The sequence below is a fragment of the Homo sapiens genome, chromosome 16, assembly GCF_000001405.40.
Source record: "Homo sapiens chromosome 16, GRCh38.p14 Primary Assembly".
In the NCBI taxonomy this organism is placed as follows: domain Eukaryota; kingdom Metazoa; phylum Chordata; class Mammalia; order Primates; family Hominidae; genus Homo; species Homo sapiens.
Genome location: NC_000016.10, coordinates 80,658,950 through 80,676,079, shown reverse-complemented (window position 1 = coordinate 80,676,079; position 17,130 = coordinate 80,658,950). Strand labels below are relative to the sequence as shown.

General features: G+C 43.9%; 1 protein-coding gene across 4 annotated transcripts in view, besides 2 other annotated features; it reads left to right on the top strand.

Moving 5' to 3' along the window:
* The window catches only part of CDYL2 (chromodomain Y like 2), a 207,131-nt gene that overhangs the window by 128,958 nt on the left and 61,043 nt on the right, over window positions 1-17,130 (top strand). The window lies entirely within an intron of this gene.
* Window positions 4,714-4,763: an enhancer, noted in NCBI's record as "active region_11171". NCBI's record gives its function as "activates an Ori minimal core promoter by ATAC-STARR-seq in GM12878 lymphoblastoid cells {active_cell/tissue: GM12878}" and the evidence as "EXISTENCE:reporter gene assay evidence [ECO:0000049][PMID:35858748]".
* Window positions 8,705-9,665: an enhancer, noted in NCBI's record as "OCT4-NANOG hESC enhancer chr16:80700312-80701272 (GRCh37/hg19 assembly coordinates)". NCBI's record gives its function as "activates a minimal SCP1, AML or CMV promoter by ChIP-STARR-seq in naive and primed H9 embryonic stem cells {active_cell/tissue: H9 hESC(naive and primed)}" and the evidence as "EXISTENCE:reporter gene assay evidence [ECO:0000049][PMID:30033119]".

The following is a 17,130-nucleotide window of genomic DNA, read 5'->3' as shown; positions in this document are numbered from 1 at the left end:
TGACCTATGGCAGATCCAAGGGGAGAATCGATTCTCCCCGCTTGGCTCCTGAATTCTGGATTTGATTTTGGTGCCCAGAAGAGGATGATGGAGTCTTGACCACTGTCAAGGTTTAGAAACCAACTAATTGCTTTTCCTACCTGCTCAGCTGTCGTTTTCCTCCCTCAATGTCCTTAGGAAAGTCTTAGGCACTGTTTGCTCATGGCTATCCATCAGGGGACTTCCAAAAAGGGTATAGTGGGGGAGTGGAAGCGATCCTCCCCAGGAGCAAGCAGTAAGCGGGTACAGTGTCTGTAGAGGGCTCCAAAACAATAATAAAACTTCACCTCCTAATGTCGGTGAAAAGCCGCTCTCCTTATTGAGGGTTCCAAAACAATAATAAAACTTCACCTCCTAATGTCGGTGAAAAGCCGCTCTCCCTGTTGAGGGTTCCAAAACAATAATAAAACTTCACCTCCTAATGTCGGTGAAAAGCCACTCTCCCCATTGAGGTGGATCCCAGGGCCTTCCTCCACCCTGACTCCTCACACAAAGCAGCCAGTCTTCATGAATGATGATGATAATGGTGGCAGCGGTGGTGGTGGTGGTGATGGTAGCAATAGTAGCTAACATTTCTTGAGGTCTTACTGCAGGTAACGCCTAGCTCTTTGTATTTGATCTACTAAATGTGATTTAATTTCCTCAGTGGTTCTCTGATGGAGCAGTTTAACAACATAGCAACATAACAAGGTTACCTGGGATCAACCTTGTTTATAGATGGGGAAGCTGAGGCTCAGCAAGGGTAAGACACAGCACTGAGAGAAGGAATTAGGGTGTGGTGCCGGGTCTGGGGATGCTGAAGCTGTTGGGGGTCTGTGACCAGTTTTGTAAATGAAGAAAGGTACTTCAGGGATTCAGGTTGAAGCCAACAGACCTTTCCCAGATGCCAAGGGCATTGTTCTGGCCAACACCCCTGGGCCTGCCTTTGAGGCATCTTCAGTAGTATCAGAGATGCTGACTTGGCATTCCAGGGAGGTGGAACCTCTGGTCCTGGTGATTTTCCTTAGGGCCTTAGATTAAAACACACACACATGTATGCATGTACATACACATGCACATATTCACATCACAGATGTACACATCACACACTCATGCACACATCATATATACACACACACCTGCACATCTATGCATTGTAAAGGGGACTCCCTCAATTGTCAAAGTTTATTTCAATGCTAGAAGAAATGGCAAAAAAAGGACAAAGATCTTCACCAACTGATGAATGGATAAACAAAATGTCGTCTTCCCAGACGACGGATGTTATTCAGTCATAAAGAGCAATGAATAGTGGACATATGCGGCAACGTGGATGAACCTCAAAACCACATATGATATGATTCCACTTATGTCAAATGTCCAGAATAGGTGAATCTGTAGAGACAGAAAGTAGATTAGCCGTTGCCAGGGGCTAAGGGGAGGAGGGAGTGGGGAATGACTGCTAATGGGTACGGCATTTCATTTTGAGCAATGAAAATGTTCTGGAATTAGATTATGGGGACAGTTGCACAACTCTGCAAGTCACACTAAAAATCACTGAATTGTGCACTTTATATGGGTGAATTTTATAGTATGTAAAATAAATCTCAGTAAAGCTGTTTTTGTTTTAAAAAAAAGGAGAAGAAAAAGAAGCTAGCAAGTAGGATGAAAAATAACAGCTACCGTTTCCCTACTGCTTGCCATGTGCAAGGGAGCCTTCTAAATGCTCTCCAAGAAGCTGTGCATTGAATTTCCTCGACAGCCCCCATTTCTACACTGGAAAATTAATGCTTAAAGAAGACACGTGCATTGCTTGAGTTAGTCCAAGTGTCACAGAAGGTGGAGCTGGAATGGAACCACAGTGCCCACTCGTGAACCCAGGCTCCCATGTGGGAAATCGAGGTACTCTTAGTGAACCAAGGGACGCTGTATTAGTTCCCTATGGCTGCTGTAACAAATTCCTCCCAACTTGGTGGCTTAAAGCAACACCACCTTCTTCCCTTATAGTTCTGGAGTCAGAAATCTAAAATGCATTGGCAGGGCTGTGCTCCTTCTGGAGGCCCTGTGGGAGAATCCATTTCCTTGCCTTTTCCAGCTTCCAGAGGCTGCACGTTCTCCTCGGCTCGTGGTCCCTCATCTCTATAACCTTTGCATCCATCCTCACATCTCCTTCTCTTGACTCCAAGCCCCCTGCCTCCCTCTTACAAGGACTTATGTGATTACACTGAACCAACCAAGATAATACAGGATAATCTCCCATCTCCAAATCCTTAACTTAATCCCATTCACAAAGTCCTTTTTGCCATGTCAGGTACCACATTCATAGGTCCCAGGGATTAGGATATGAGATCTTTAAGGATTTGCTATTCATCCCACCACAGGCATTTAGGAGAGTTTGAGGGGAAGAAAGGGTATGCATATGGGTTTGTATTCTTGAATGGGCAAGAAACCTGCTGGTAACAAGGAAATGTTAATTTTGTCGTCTAGATTATTAAAATTATTTCATTTAAGTGCACTTGCACATCTGTGCATTGTGAAGGAAACTACCTTAATTGTCAAAGCTTATTTCAATGCTAGAAGAAATAGCAAAAGCCACATCAAGTAGATTATTTCATTTAAGCGAAATAATTATTTTGTTTAAATGAAATAATCTACTTGGTGTGGACTTTGATATAACTGGAAAGTGTTGAAGTTGACTTAAATTCACTTGTTGATTTTTTTAAAATTATTTATTTATTTATTTTTGAGACAGAGTCTTGCTCTGTCGCCCAGGCTGGAGTGCAATGGCATGATCTTGGCTCACTGCAACCTCCGCCTCCCGGGTCCAAACGATTCTCCTGCCTCTGCCTCCTGAGTAGGTGGGATTACAGGTGCATGCCACCATGCCCGGCTAATTTTTTTGTACTTTTAGTAGAAATGGGGTTTCACCATGTTGGCCAGGCTGGTCTTGAACTCCTGACCTCAAGTGATCCACCCACCTCGGCCTCCCAAAGTGCTGGGATTACAGGCATGAGCCACCACGCCCGGCCTCCCTTGTTGATTTTAGAGATGGGAGCAAGCAGCTCCTCCTACAAGACACAAAACACTTATCTAATCCTAGGATGCATTTCTATACGACAGTTACTGCATGACAGTGTTTTGTACAAGCCAGCGTGAGCCTTCCTAGTGCCCAATGAGCTGCTGTTAATAATGACAATAACAGCAATTGCACCAACAACAGATATTTATTAAGCCCTTGCTATGAGTCAGGTGTTGGTGGGCTAAGGATGTTACATTTAGCAGCTCTGTTAATCCTGACAATTCTATGAAGTAGGTTGTCTTTTTATCCCTGGTTTGCACATAAAGAAATGGAGGCTTTACAAAGTTAGTTAGGCAGCTGGCCTGCAGCCTCCAGATGGTAACAAGGTAGAGCCAGAATTGTGGTCCTCTTTCTTCCTTTCCTTTCCTTTCTTTTCCTTTCCTTTCCTTTCCTTTCCTTTCCTTTCCTTTCCTTTCCTTTCCTTTCCTTTCCTTTCCTTTCCTTTCCTTTTCCTTTTCCTTTGCTTTGCTTCTTTCCTTCTTTCCTTTCCTTCTTTCTTTCCTTTCTTTCTTTTCCTGGGCATTTTAAAATGGCTTTCTTACATCACCTTATCCTGTGATATCTGACTGTATCATTAGATCTTAATCACACACAAAGGGAAAGCCTGTTCTACTCATCTCTCTCTCTCTCTCTGTGTGTGTGTGTGTGTGTGTGTGTGTGTGTGTGTAACATTTTGTATGAAAACACTTGTATTTTGATTTTTCTGCTCAATATAGCGTATGTCTGTTTCCGTCTATTTCCATATTGGGCAACTCTTCATATTGGAATTTTAGTAGTGCCATTTATATGTTTTCAGAAGGATATACAGGTTGAATGTCCCCAAGTCCAAAATCTGAAATGCTCCAAAATCCAGAACTTTCTGAGCATCAAAATGATGCTTAAAGGAAATGCTCATTGGAGCATTCAATTATCAGATTAGGGGTGCTTAACTGGTAAGTATAATACAAATATTCCAAAATCAGAAAAAATCAGAAATCCAAAACACTTGTGATCCCACACATTTTGGATAAGGTATACCCAACCTGTGCAATATTTGATTTATGTAGCCAGTCTCTTGTTGTTGGACATTTAGGTTAGGTCTAAACATCTTTGGTTTTCTTTCATTTTTTTCTGGACTATTTTTCTAGACTAGATTCCCAGAGGCAGGATTATACTGCTAATTTTACCATATCCTTCTAACTCCATCCAAAAAAGAATAATAACCAGTGAGGCATAATTTTCTAGTTTTGTCATTGCCTTGCCAGACGTGTGTGTTTAAGGGGAACAAGAGGAGCCTCGGTATCGTTTATTTGCATTTCTTTAGTCTCCACTGAAGCTGAGCTTTTTCTCTGCATGCTCAAGTACTCTTTGTAACTTCCTCTTTGTGGCTGGTTCACTCCTGTCTTTTGAGATTGGGGAGAATTCAGATACACAGGGAAGAGGTATGGTATGGCAAAGGAGGAGAGCCCAGAGCATGTTTGCTGGTTGGTGAGAAGATGCGTTTGGGGCAGGGGCTGGTGTGCTTAGGGAAAGACTTGGGCGACAGCTGAAAGACAGGCTGGGGCCAGGTGCAGGAGGGGCCTGGGTGGCAGGGAACCCCCTGTTGTACTTGTGGCAGCCACTCTAATGCAGGTCATCCATGGAAGGACTGGTCCTAAATTTTTGATGAACTGGCAGAAATACCAAAATCTGGTTCTGGCCCCTATGTCAGCCACTCTGGCCTTCCTCTGGCTTGTCCGTAACTCTGTACCACCCTCTTTAAACCCACTGGGCAGCTCGGCTGATAGACATTCTCCATTAAGGGCTGCCCCAGACACCTCTACTACCTATACCCACCTGTCTGCTCCCTGGAGAGCTATTAATAAGGAGCCCAGGGTGTGGGTGACTCCAGAGAAACATCAAAGAAAAGAGATTTGGTAGGGGCTGCGGCAGGAGAGAGAAGCCTCCACTGGGGTCAGGGATGCCATAGAGGAAAGTCACAACCCTAGACTGGTTAGAAGAGGAGAACCCAGGAGACAAAATCCTGAGGCAGCCTTCTTTAGATATTCATGTTATTCCAGGTGGTGGAAGAACAGCTGGTGAGGCAAGCCCCTGTGTATAGAGCCCCTTTTATCTTCCTCGTGCGCAACCTGACTATGCTGTGTATAGAGCCCCTTTTATCTTCCTCGTGTGCAACCCGACTGTGGTGTGGTGTTCCTGGGAGCGCCAGCCTCGAGGCCTCGATTCACACTTTTTATGTTGCAACATGGCTTCTCTTTCTTTCATCCTGTCCCAGAAAGAAAATCGAGACCCTGGGGCAAAATGAGCCTGGAAATAGGTTTGCGCACCTCGTGTCATTAAGACGTTGCCGTCCACGGAGCCCCGGGGTTCTCTGAGGGCCTCCTGGTGAGAAGCCAGATGGGTGGACTCCAGCGCTCCCTTCTCCATGTCAGCCACAGTAGCTGCTTGTATTAGTCCATTCTCAAGTTGCTAATGAAGACACACCCGAGACTGGGTAGTTTATAAAGGAAAGAGGTTTAATTGACTCACGGTTCCCCAGGGCTGTGGAGGCCTCAGGAAACTTACAATCATGGCGGAAGGGGAAGCAAACACATCCTTCATGTGGTGGCAGCAAGGAGAAGTGCTGAGCAACCGGGGGAAAGCCCCTTATAAAACCATCAGATCTCATGAGAACTCACTTCAGTATCACAAGAACAGCATGAGGGTAACCGCCCCCCGTGATCCAGTCAACTCCCACTGGGTCCCTCCCACCACACGTGGGGATTATAAAAACTACAATTCAAGATGAGATTTGGGTGGGGACACAGGCAAACCATATCACTCCTGTTTTATTTGTTTCATGTGAGGGTTTGTCATGTGCTTTTGTTGAGGGAAAAGAAGACAGGAAATGAGAGGACTTAAAGCATATTTCTGAATACACCAGTTTAATAAATCTGCCCACCAGTGGCATGAGCTACTTGATGAGGTTGTTGTGCCCCATGTCTTGGGTTGTTTGGGTGGACTTAGGCAGACTTAGGCAGAGGGATTCCTGCATGGAGACGGGTGAGATTAGGTGGCCTCACAGGACCGAGTCAGCTCCTCAGAGCATGTGTCTGGCTGGGCAGGGTCGTGGCCGCTCTGCAGTCAAGACCCTCATGGTGTGCACTCACTCTCCTCATGGCTGAGCCATGTGTCACCACAGCCCATGTGTGCAGAAATACTCAGCTCATTTTTGGAGGCTCCTTGTCCAAGTTCCGACAGGTGCTCAGGGAGCTTTTGCAGCGACCATGCAGGGAGGGAGAACACAGGCTCTGCTTTCAGTGGGGGCACCTGCCTGAGGCCACAAAGCCAGCCAGAGGATAAGAGTTAGCTGTCTTGCCCACCGACCCTCCTGCTTGGCCTCTCTCGATGTCCTAGCTCCCAATTCTGGCATCCCCCGGCTGAGGGAGATCCAGGTACTGACCTCTGATTGGCTTTCATGGCTCCACGCTTACACCTGTCTGTTCCCTGCTGCCCCAGATCTGTGCCACCATCTCCCACCATCTGCTTGACGCGGCTCCTTGTCCCCACAAGACGGCAGTGAGGTGGAGGGGGGACATCTAAAGGGCCACTTCCGACTTGGTTCTGAGGACCATTGTCCTGAGTCTTACAGTGAGGGCAGAGCCACTTTCCATGGTCCGTGGGGCCTCTGAGTCCTGGGCTGTGGGGCCTTGGGGGTCAATATATCGTCGTATCTGCTTCCCCTTCTTGGCACTTTGCTGGATGCTTCCTCTGCTCGGCCAGGCCGGTCACCTTGGCCTGTCGTCTTCCCATTACCTTCCAGTGTGCAGAAATGTGGCACCCACTATTGACTCTTCTCCTTTACTTTTGCTTGTGTTAATACTTAAAAAAAAATCTTTTACTGCCATTTTAGAGTGGTTTCAAGAAAGAGGAGACAAATTTGTCAGTGTGGTATATCTAGGTCCCTAAAATGTTCTTCTTTTTTTCTTTACTTTTTCCTCTCCTCTCTTCTCCTCTCTTCTCTTTTTGTTTTCTAAAGTTACAAATAGGTGAGTTGTAAAAAATTCAAACAGTATGGAAAATATAAGCATTTAATTTTAATTTTATTTTTAAATTATTATTATTATTTGAGATGGTGTCTGACTCTGTCGCCCAGGTTGGAGTGCAGTGGGGTGATCTCGGCTCACTGCAGCCTCTGCTTCATGGGTTCAAGTGGTTGTCCTGCCTCAGCCTCCTGAGTAGCTGAGATTACAGGTGCCCACCCCCGTGCCTGGCTAATTTTTGTATTTTTAGTAGAGACAGGGTTTTGCCATGTTGGCCAGGCTGGTCTCAAACTCCTGACCTCAAGTGAATTTCCTGCTTTGGCCTCCCGAAATGCTGGGGAAAATATAAGCATTTTAGAAATTAAAGTCTCCATATTCTCCCTTCCCAAATCCTATTTAGAGGTGACTTCTGTTAATGTTTCCTTATGGATCTTTTGGGACTATTCTCTAAGTTTATATATATGTATATGTATTTATATATATTAAATCTATGTACTTTATTACATACCATATATTATATATGTGATTATATTACATATTTACTTAAATATTTGTTTGTTGAGTGATGAACAGGAATTATCCCATTTCTTTCTCTCTCCATGTATGTAGGTATAGATATGTATATATCTGTCTGTCATCTGTCTGTCTATTCATTTATCCATTATTTATCTGTTAGCCAAGGCCTCACCAAGTTGACATCCGAGTAAAGATTGAAGGTGGTGAGAACACCTTGTCCTGCAATTTCTTTTTTGACTTAAAGCCTGTCTTGGAACTCTTTCTGAGTCAGGACGTGTGGAACGGCCTCCCTGTTTTTGGCTGCTTGGGATTTACGGTGTGCAGGGACTTAACTGTTCCTCTGTGATGGCCATCTGGGCTGCCTACAAAGGGACCTGCTCCTGCCAAACCTGGCTAGGGCCAGTCTTTGTAATGCTTTTCCAGGCCCTGTTGTTTTAATTTTAGTTTCTAAATGTGGGTGAGCATCTTCTCATGTTCCTTCCACTTGTGTCTCTCCCTGGGCATTGCCCGGGTGCCATCCTGCTGTGGAAACAGTGGTGGCGAGTCAGGGGCATTCAGCCATGTTGCCTGGAACAAATGACCCAGCCTCTGTGGGCCAGATTCTTAATTTATAAGATGCAGATATTCATACCTCACGGGTTGGGGGTAAAGAATAAATGAATTCGTTTATAGGAAGCCCTTAACATATTCGCTGGCTTGTGGTAGACATTTGATAAATATTAGCCGTTATTTCAATTTTTTCCCCCTTTTTCCAACTGGGTCTTTATATTTCCCCACTTGTTTTTAAAATCACTTTACATACAGTACACATATATGAATCCTTTCCTATGTATGCTAACCAGTACTCATAAAATGACTGCCATATACCAGGAACTGTTTAGACAAATAACTGCAATACCTCATGCTGTGATGGAGACATGCAGAAGATATTGTGGGGCCATAGGTAAGGGCACCGAAGCCAGCTTAGGGGAAGGAATTACTGAGGGCTTCTTGGAGGAGGTGATGCATAAGTGGAATCTGATAAAATGAGCCGAAATGACTGAGGAAAAAGGCAGGGATGTCAGGAGGTGATGACAGCATGTACAAGGGCATAGAGCTGAGGGACAGCCTCTGGGTGCCTGTTGACACATCACAAAGAATACAGCAGTCCAGCCAATTCTAGAGCAGCCTGCACGGGAGGCTGAGCTCCAGGGAATTCCTCGGGTAGTCAGGCTTGTCTTAAGAACCAGATAGATGGAAGCCCACCCCATCTGTCTGTGTTCTGCATGTGTGACTCCCTCTGTCTGAATGCCTCCCGCTGTGAGCCCTCACGTGAGTAGTAACCTCTGCTCATCCTGCAGGTCTGGCTCAAGCAGCAATTCCCCCATGGAAACCTTTGCTGACTGCCAGCATAGCTCAGTTTCCGTTTTTATTTGCACACATGGAATGGTGTTTCTTGGTTGACAGCACTGACCTCGGTTTGTAGTGGTCACACTGATTATTCGGGTAATCTCTGCCTCTTTCACTCGATCAGAAGCTCCACAGGGGAGGGATGGTCTCCATTTTTGTTCACAGCTGTATCACCAACACCTAACAATGCTGGGCACTTAGCAGGTGCTTAAGAAATGAATGAGTGAGTGAATGAATAGATGAAAGAGAGGACTTAAGGAGCCGGTTCTGCTTTAAGATGGGGGTCCTGAGGCCAGGTCCACCCACTGCAAACCCTTCTGACATCTGTCAAAGCTGCCCATCCCCTGGCCCAGTCTTTCCTTCTCTCCTTGAGTTGTCCTGGGTGTTGGCTTCACAGCCTCTGCTCATGGTAACATGTCCTGGAAAGCCCGTATTTTGTCAGGGCTCTTCACAGCAACGACAGGATTCCCTTCCCATTGGCTCATCTGGTGATTGTTGTCGCCATCTGCCACGATGGCCCTGCTTGCTGTGTTCCTCTTCCCTTTATATTCACGAAGCCACAGTAGACTCTTAATAAAGCGCCAGGCTCCCTCCCCCATGAAGGGCATTGTGAGTTCTTTTCAGCAGGGTGCATCTCATTTGGGCTGCAGCCTCTGTATTTTGCGCAGTTCTTTGCTATGAGAGAGCGAATGCCCAAATCATGTAATTTATGACCTGCCTTGATGGTAACATAGGACATGAAATTGGTGGACTTCTTAATAGACGTCCCAGTTACAGGAAGTATTGTAAGATTTCACCTTTAAAATTGCTCTCATTTTGCAGGTAGCATAGAGGCGAAGAAACTGATAAGAGCAGGCAGGTAGAAAGAGGCTCCGTGTGTTCAAATACAAACATTGCCTCTTAGCATCTCCAGGCAGGTCTTACCAGCTTTTGAGCCTCACTTTTCACCTCTGTAGTCCGGGAATAGCAAGCCTGCCAGAAAGGATGAAGCAGTGGGTCCTGGCGCCTCATGAGTCTTCATTTCTCTTCTCCTTTGTCAGACTCCGCTTCAGGTGGAGCTTCCTGCTTTGCTCAAGAATGTGCTTTTCTACCCCACCCTCAGCCTGCCCTGTCGTTTTTTCATTGATCCTAGGATATTAGGTTTTATTCTGTTGCATAAGCCAGCAAGGCGAAATCAAGAGGGACAGCCCCTGGGTGCCTGTTGCCACATCACAAAGAATGGGTTGCAGGACAGTGGACTCTGTTACTTTTGTGACTTTTCCATGGAAGTTAGAGTCTTGAGTTTTTCACCTGCCATCTTGGTGACAGTGCCACTGAGTAGGAGGTTCTGCCTCCGAGTTTGTTCTTTCTTCTTCTGTTCCACTGTGGACCTCTGGAAGCTTCTCCCATCTTCATCTCCTTTCCCGATTCCCTCCCACTTCACCACCCTTGCAGAAAGAGGGTCTGTCCTGAGTTCCTGGAGGTTTAGCAAGACATCTCCATCTCTGGCCTGGCTTCCACCAGTAACTCCTCATATTATTAGGTTGGTGCAAAAGTAATTGCGGTTTTTGCTATTTTTTTTTTTTTTTTTTTTTAATGGCAAAAACCTCAATTACTTTTTCACCAACCTAATACTTGGTGGCAGTGAATGAGAAACAACTGGTCACAAGATCTGTTGAGCCCTCGTGTGTGCCAGGCATGGCATTGAGTGCTGAGGATACAGCCCAACTCATATTCCTGTGGGAAGAACTGAGGAAAGAGCCAAATATTCCAGTGAACTGTGAGCAGGTACGGCAGTGCCCTACATGAACGTGGATACCACCGAAGCAAGGAGATTATAGACGCAGCTTCCACCTGAAGGATGCATGGAGCTTGATCAGGCAAAGAGGAGAGGGGAGAGTGTTCTAGACAGTGAGAACTATATTTTAATTAAGAAGATTTGTAGAAAATATGTAACATCTATTTCAAGCATCATTAATAAATGCCATTTATGATTTCTTCATGAAATATTTATTAAATGACTGCTGTGAGCTAGTATTGTATACCTAGAAGCAGGTCTCAGCATGCCTCGTTCTGGGGGTATGATGAGTAAGGCAAGACAGAGTTTAGGGAAGAAAACAAACAAATGGGGAAATGACAAATACATTGACAATCTCCATACCATGTCAAAATAGCCAGCATTTACTGAGCCCTTGCTAAGCCAAACCCTCTTGCTAGCACTGGCAGTTCCTCAGTTAATCCTAGCAGGGAGGGTCATTACCCTTCCCATTTCACGGATATGGAAACTGAGGTATATGCAGGTGAAATAGCTTGCCTACAGTCTATTAGTCAGTAGGTGGCTGTTCCAGGATTCAGATCTAGTTGTCCTGGCTTGAGACCTAGATTCCTAAATTCTCCTTTTCTGCTTCTTGAGGGACAGGGCTATCTGGGAGGCCAGAAGAGAGCTACATTGTATTTGGAAAACTTTAAAAAATTTTTAGCGTTTTGAGATCATTTTCTCCCCTACAGTTCACTTAAAGAGGCATTTGCTTTCCCCTCACTATGTGGTGGGGACGAAGGCTGTAGAGATGACCAGCCGTGTCTTCCAAAGAACTCAAAGCTTATTAAGCTGATTAAGGGATCAGCTGGTCCCCAGTGACCTGCTGCAAAGCTGAGCATGCGAACTCAGGAAGGCCCAGGACACCGGAGCCCTGGGGATGGGCTGTTCCCGGCGCTTGGGGAGGAAGAGACAGCTGTCTGGAAGAGAAGCATTTCAAGTGGCCCCGGAGGATTAGATGTGTGAAGGTGGACGGAAATGACATTCCTGGCCAAGGGAACAGAGGAAGTAATGGCTCAGAGGGTGGAAAACTCAGTTTCGGAGAACCTCAGACAGTCCTGGAAGTTAAGGTGTTTATGGGGCAAGAGTGGGAGTTAAGGCCAGAAAACAGGATGAGGCCAGACGATGGAGGCATGTGAACTTTTGAGCAGGGGAGTTGCAAGAAAAGGTGATAAAAATGAATTTTAAAGGAAATCACTTTATACTTTGATACCCTACAGAATATTTTGCCACATACCAGGATCCTGGCATAATAGAGCTTTTGGAGTTAGCATGGCCTTGGAGGGTTTTAATGCAGGAGACATGATTTGATTTGTAGAAAAAGTTCCTTTTAATCAGGTTAGTTTTGTATTTTGAATTCATGCTTTACACTGCTGAATGCTTTAAACATTTAGGCGGGGCATAGTGGCTCACACCTCTAATCCCAGCACTTTGGGAGGCCAAGGTGGTGGATTGCCTGAGCTCAGGAATTCGAGACCAGTCTGGGCAACATGGTGAAACCCTGTCTCTACTAGAAATACAAAAATTAGCTGGGTGTGGTGGTGGGTGCCTGTAATTCTAGCTACTTGGGAAGCTGAGGCAGGAGAATCACTTGAACCCAGGATGCGGAGGTTGCAGTGAGCCAAGATCATGCCACTGCACTCCAGCCTGGGCAAGAAGAATGAAACTCTGTCTCAAAAGAAAAAAAAAATTTAGACATCTGACAGTGAACATCATAAGATTACTTAGAGGTGTTGGATGTAGTGATTAGATAATCTGAGAACCTAAACTTTCTTAAAATTCGAAGTGTATGGATTTTATCTGGCATAATTTTAACATGCCAGATGACAGTTAACTGTGGCTAAGATTTTTTTTTTTCTTGAATGCACCTGTGAATTTGAGCCCTGCTATTGCATTCAGGTCCTGAGAGCAAGGATTCTGTACATGGGACTAGGGGCTTTTGGTTCCACTCAACTGTAGAACTGATGAGTCTTCTCTTTTATTTAACTCTCCCCTCCACCTCACCTCCTGACATGATTGATGACCGGAAGTGCTCAAGCTGAACTCCCCCTGGGTTGGTCTGTTCTCTCTGTTAATTGTATCTGCTCCCCAAGATGATAAGAGTGATTGGAACACTGGGGAGAATGGACTGGAAGGAAAGTGCTTTGCACCTGTGTCTTTTAGGGGGCTAGAAGGAGACCCCCAACACCACAATTTTTTTATCCTATCTTCCAGCCTCTTGCTTTTTTCCCCTATGTCTTTTGATCAAGAGGTAAGAACTTCTGTAGGTCCTCCATTGTAAGTCTAGTGTTTATTCATTTATTCACTCATTCATTTATTCAACAAAGAATGACTTGTGTCGTTCTTTGTGCTGGGCCTCCGCTGGTTCTGAAGGTATATGAATAACTAAAACAGCCCTTGCCTTTAAGAATCCATCTGGTGGTGAGGAGGGAGCCAGACATTTGAGAAAATCCTTGTCAAGATGTGGAAGGTATCCATGATGATTTTCCTACAGTGTGATTCCCTTCACTGTCCAGTACGGTAGCCATCAGCCACAGGTGGTTAGAGTTATATTTCAATTAGTTAAAATTAAAAAATTAAAATTTCAATAGCCATATGTGGATTCCACCTACTGTATTAGACAATGCAGATATTGAACATTTTCATCATTGCAGGAAGTTCTGAATCAGACTGTAAGCTCTTTGAAGGCAGATCCATGTCTGGTTCTGCCCATCCGTATACCCCAGGTGCTAAGCATCTGGTGAACACTCACTAAGTATGTACTGAATGAACATGGGAGAGGATAATAAGGAGAGTAAAAGAAGGGTGTACAAACAACCAGAAGAGAGATGCACTGCTCTGGAAGAATGTGCAGAAGAGATATCCCTGGAGCTCCATCAAAAAGTAGGGGACTTTTAGCAAGTGGGGAAGGGAGGAAGGGTGCTTTCTCCAGGAGGGAGAATGACTCTGGTCTCACTAACTTCCTTCTGTGTTCTGATGTCTCAAGCCACACAAGGTGTTACTATTTTGTTTGCAATGGAAGGAAAATTCATAGCACTCACGCTGTGTTCTCTCCTTGGGTGTCTTTGAGAGGTGGGATCTCACTCAGAGCGCCAGATGTGATATAAATACGAGTTAGTCATCTAGGTGTGAGATCAACTGGATTGCAGAAAACAAGTGTTTTCACGTATGAGGCCAATACAAAGCTTTGCAAGCATGTTTGACACATGGAGACTTCATGATCTGTGAGTGAGGTGAATACGGAATGCACCACTAGGAACATACTAGGAACATTATTAAGAATTTGGCGTGGGGTATGTTGTGATTGCTGGAGTGAGTTCCCCCACCTGATTGTTTGCTCATGCAGTCATTGGATGAACACTGGGTTAAGCATGCGGTGTCCTCTAGGCACTGCGCTCTGTGTTGCAGACACACAGGTGAATACATCTCAGGCTTATCCCTCAAGAGGCCACAGTCTGGTAGGGTCTTCAAGCAGGTGTATGGATGATGATAACATAGTGAAATGAGCTCTGCTTGGTAAAGCATCACATGACACAGGAATCAGATGTGGCATCCACATTTTCTTTCCTCCTTTGTTCAGCAAAGACTAGGCTCTGGAAAACAAAAGCAGAACATCCATCAGAGCCAACACCATGAAGAGGGCCTGAGACCAGGGCTAGTTTCAGTGTCTTGATGCTCGAATCCAGCATCAAGCTTGGTCAAGATGCTGGAGTTTGACCCTCATGCTGGCACTTCCCAGTGGCATGGCCTTGGGTTTTGGTTTTCTCATCCTTAAAATGGGGATGTAAACAGTGTCCTACAGGGTCGTGATGAGGATGGAATGAGACAACCTGTGTGAATCCCATAGTAGGCACTCAGCAACTTGTGAGTATTGCATAGTTGAGAGAAAGGACTCTGGGGAATATGCCAAAGTGACACTTGGAGTCTCCATTTCACACTGTTGTGGGGGCAGGTGTAGATCACTTCTACTCCAGCTGCCCATAATAATCAAGGAGCCACCCTGGTTTCTGAGGATGGCTGTGTTAAGTGAGGAACCAGAATGGATAATGTATCCCTCAATTGGGGATAGCATCCTTCAGCGATCTGTCTAAACTTTTCCTCCCTTCCTCCAGGCCTGAAGGGAATGTGGTGGTGTTCTGTACCTGGGGTTTGAAATGTTCTTGGTGGAGAACTTGGACATGGTTCCTGTGCCCTGCCAGGAGTGGCTGTGTTTTCTGAAAACTTATTTGCATGGTAGAAGTGCCCTACGGTCTGTCCTTGTCTGTCTCAGGCTCTGTGGCCTCACCCCAACCCCAGCCCTCCACTTCCTGCCCTCTCAGACAGCTTACCCCTAGCTCAGGGGCAGCTGCCCCTGTATCTTTAATGACAAGTTTCTATCTTTCCTTCTGTGTCTTGCACACTGCAGTGAATTCCCTGACACCTTTTGTTGCTGCATGTAGACCACTGTGCACCATTTCTTGATTCCCCTGGGATCCTTCTGGCATTTCTCTATTGATTGGGCAGTTTTTCTTCCCCTCTTTGCTGAGTTGAGATCCCTCTTTCTGTCTCAGAGTTTCTCCTCAGGAAATCTTACACACATCTTTATTATTTTATCCAGTGTGATTATCTCTGTCTTTTAATATGAGTTTAATATGTTCACAGAATAATGTAATTATTGAGATATTTGGATTATTTCTCCTATTTTAGGTAGCATTTTATTTTTACCCATTCTTGTTCTCTGTTCCCTCTCTCATTCCTATTTTCTGACCTTTTAATGCTTTTCACTGGATTGATACATTTTATACATTCCTTCTCCTTGGGCTGACTCAGAAGCTAGCTGTAGATTGTATTTTTAAACTTCAGCACACATACTAAAGTATGATCTTTTTCTAACAAATATGATGTCCTCTTACTGAATTTGGCAAGATGCTTCCTTCTGCTTGGCTTTCAGTTGTCATTGAACATGTCTCTTCCACATCTTACTATTATTTTATACACCCAACATTATTAAACACCATTGATTATTATTTTCACAGCCAGTAATTACATTTACTAAAATTTTAAAAATCTATTTTTTTACCCGTGTCTTCCTCTGAATTAAATTTTTGATTTGCTAAGTTTCTCTTAATTTTTTTAGAGTCTGTGGTAGATAAATTTTCTTGGTGTTAGAACACCTGAAAATGTCCATTTATGTGGTCCTTTAAATGCTGCTTTAGCTGGGTATAAAATTGGTTGACAGTTATTTTGTCTCAGCATTTTGATGAATAGTAGCTCATTTTTTCAAGCCTCTGTTATTGCTGTTTTCAGTCTGCCATTCCTTTTTGACAATATGATTTTTCTGTCTATGCTTTTTTTTAAGAACTCTTTACCCATGGAATTCTACAGTTTATCATTAATATTATTTGTCTGTGTGTCCTGCTTGGTACTTAGAGTGCTCTTTCAAACTGAGAACTTTTTCTTTTTGAGTTCTACAAAAAGTTCAGCTATTCTTTTCTTAGAGTTATCCCTTATATAGAACTTTGATTCTTATCTGCAGGATATTTATGTTTAAAATATATTTAACTTTTTATTTTGAAATAATTTCAAACTTACAGAAAACTATGAAGGACCCATTTTCTGATTAACCAGTTTTTTTAACTTTTTTCTCTCTTTCTGTGTGTGTCTGTATATGTATATGTATATAGACACACATATTTATAATATATACACATTATATAAACTATATACAAATTGTTCTTTTTCTGTACCATCTGAGTGTAGACTATACATTATGCCTCCTTACCCCTTAATATCTAGTGTGGATATTTTATAAAAGGATATTCTTTTAAGTAAACACAATGTAGTTAAGAAATTCAAGAAATTTTGCGTTGATGCAATACTTTTATTTTAGCCCACATTCAGTTTTTTTGCTATTACCGCAATAATGTCTTTTAGATATTTATTTCTTCCAATATAGAATACAGTCTAGAATTCCATGATGCCTTTAGTTGCCATGTCTGTGTAGTCTCCTTTAATCTGGAACAGTTCTTCAGTCTGCCATTGTTTTTAATGACGCTGACATTTTTGAAGAATACAAGCTAGTTATTTTACTGAGTTTATCTAATGTTTCTTCAAGGTTAGATTTAGCTTATGCACTGAACTAGCTGATATGATGCTCTTCCTTCTTATCCATCTCATCTGTCTGTTCATCCATCCATCCGTCTGTCCATCCATCCATCCATCCATCCATCCATCCATCCATCCATCCATCCATCACCTCTATCGTGAGTACAAATTCAAGGATTCTTACTTTATGTGACAGTTTATAATCTATTACTGCCATTATTTATTTTACTATTGAAAACATCCAAGATTTG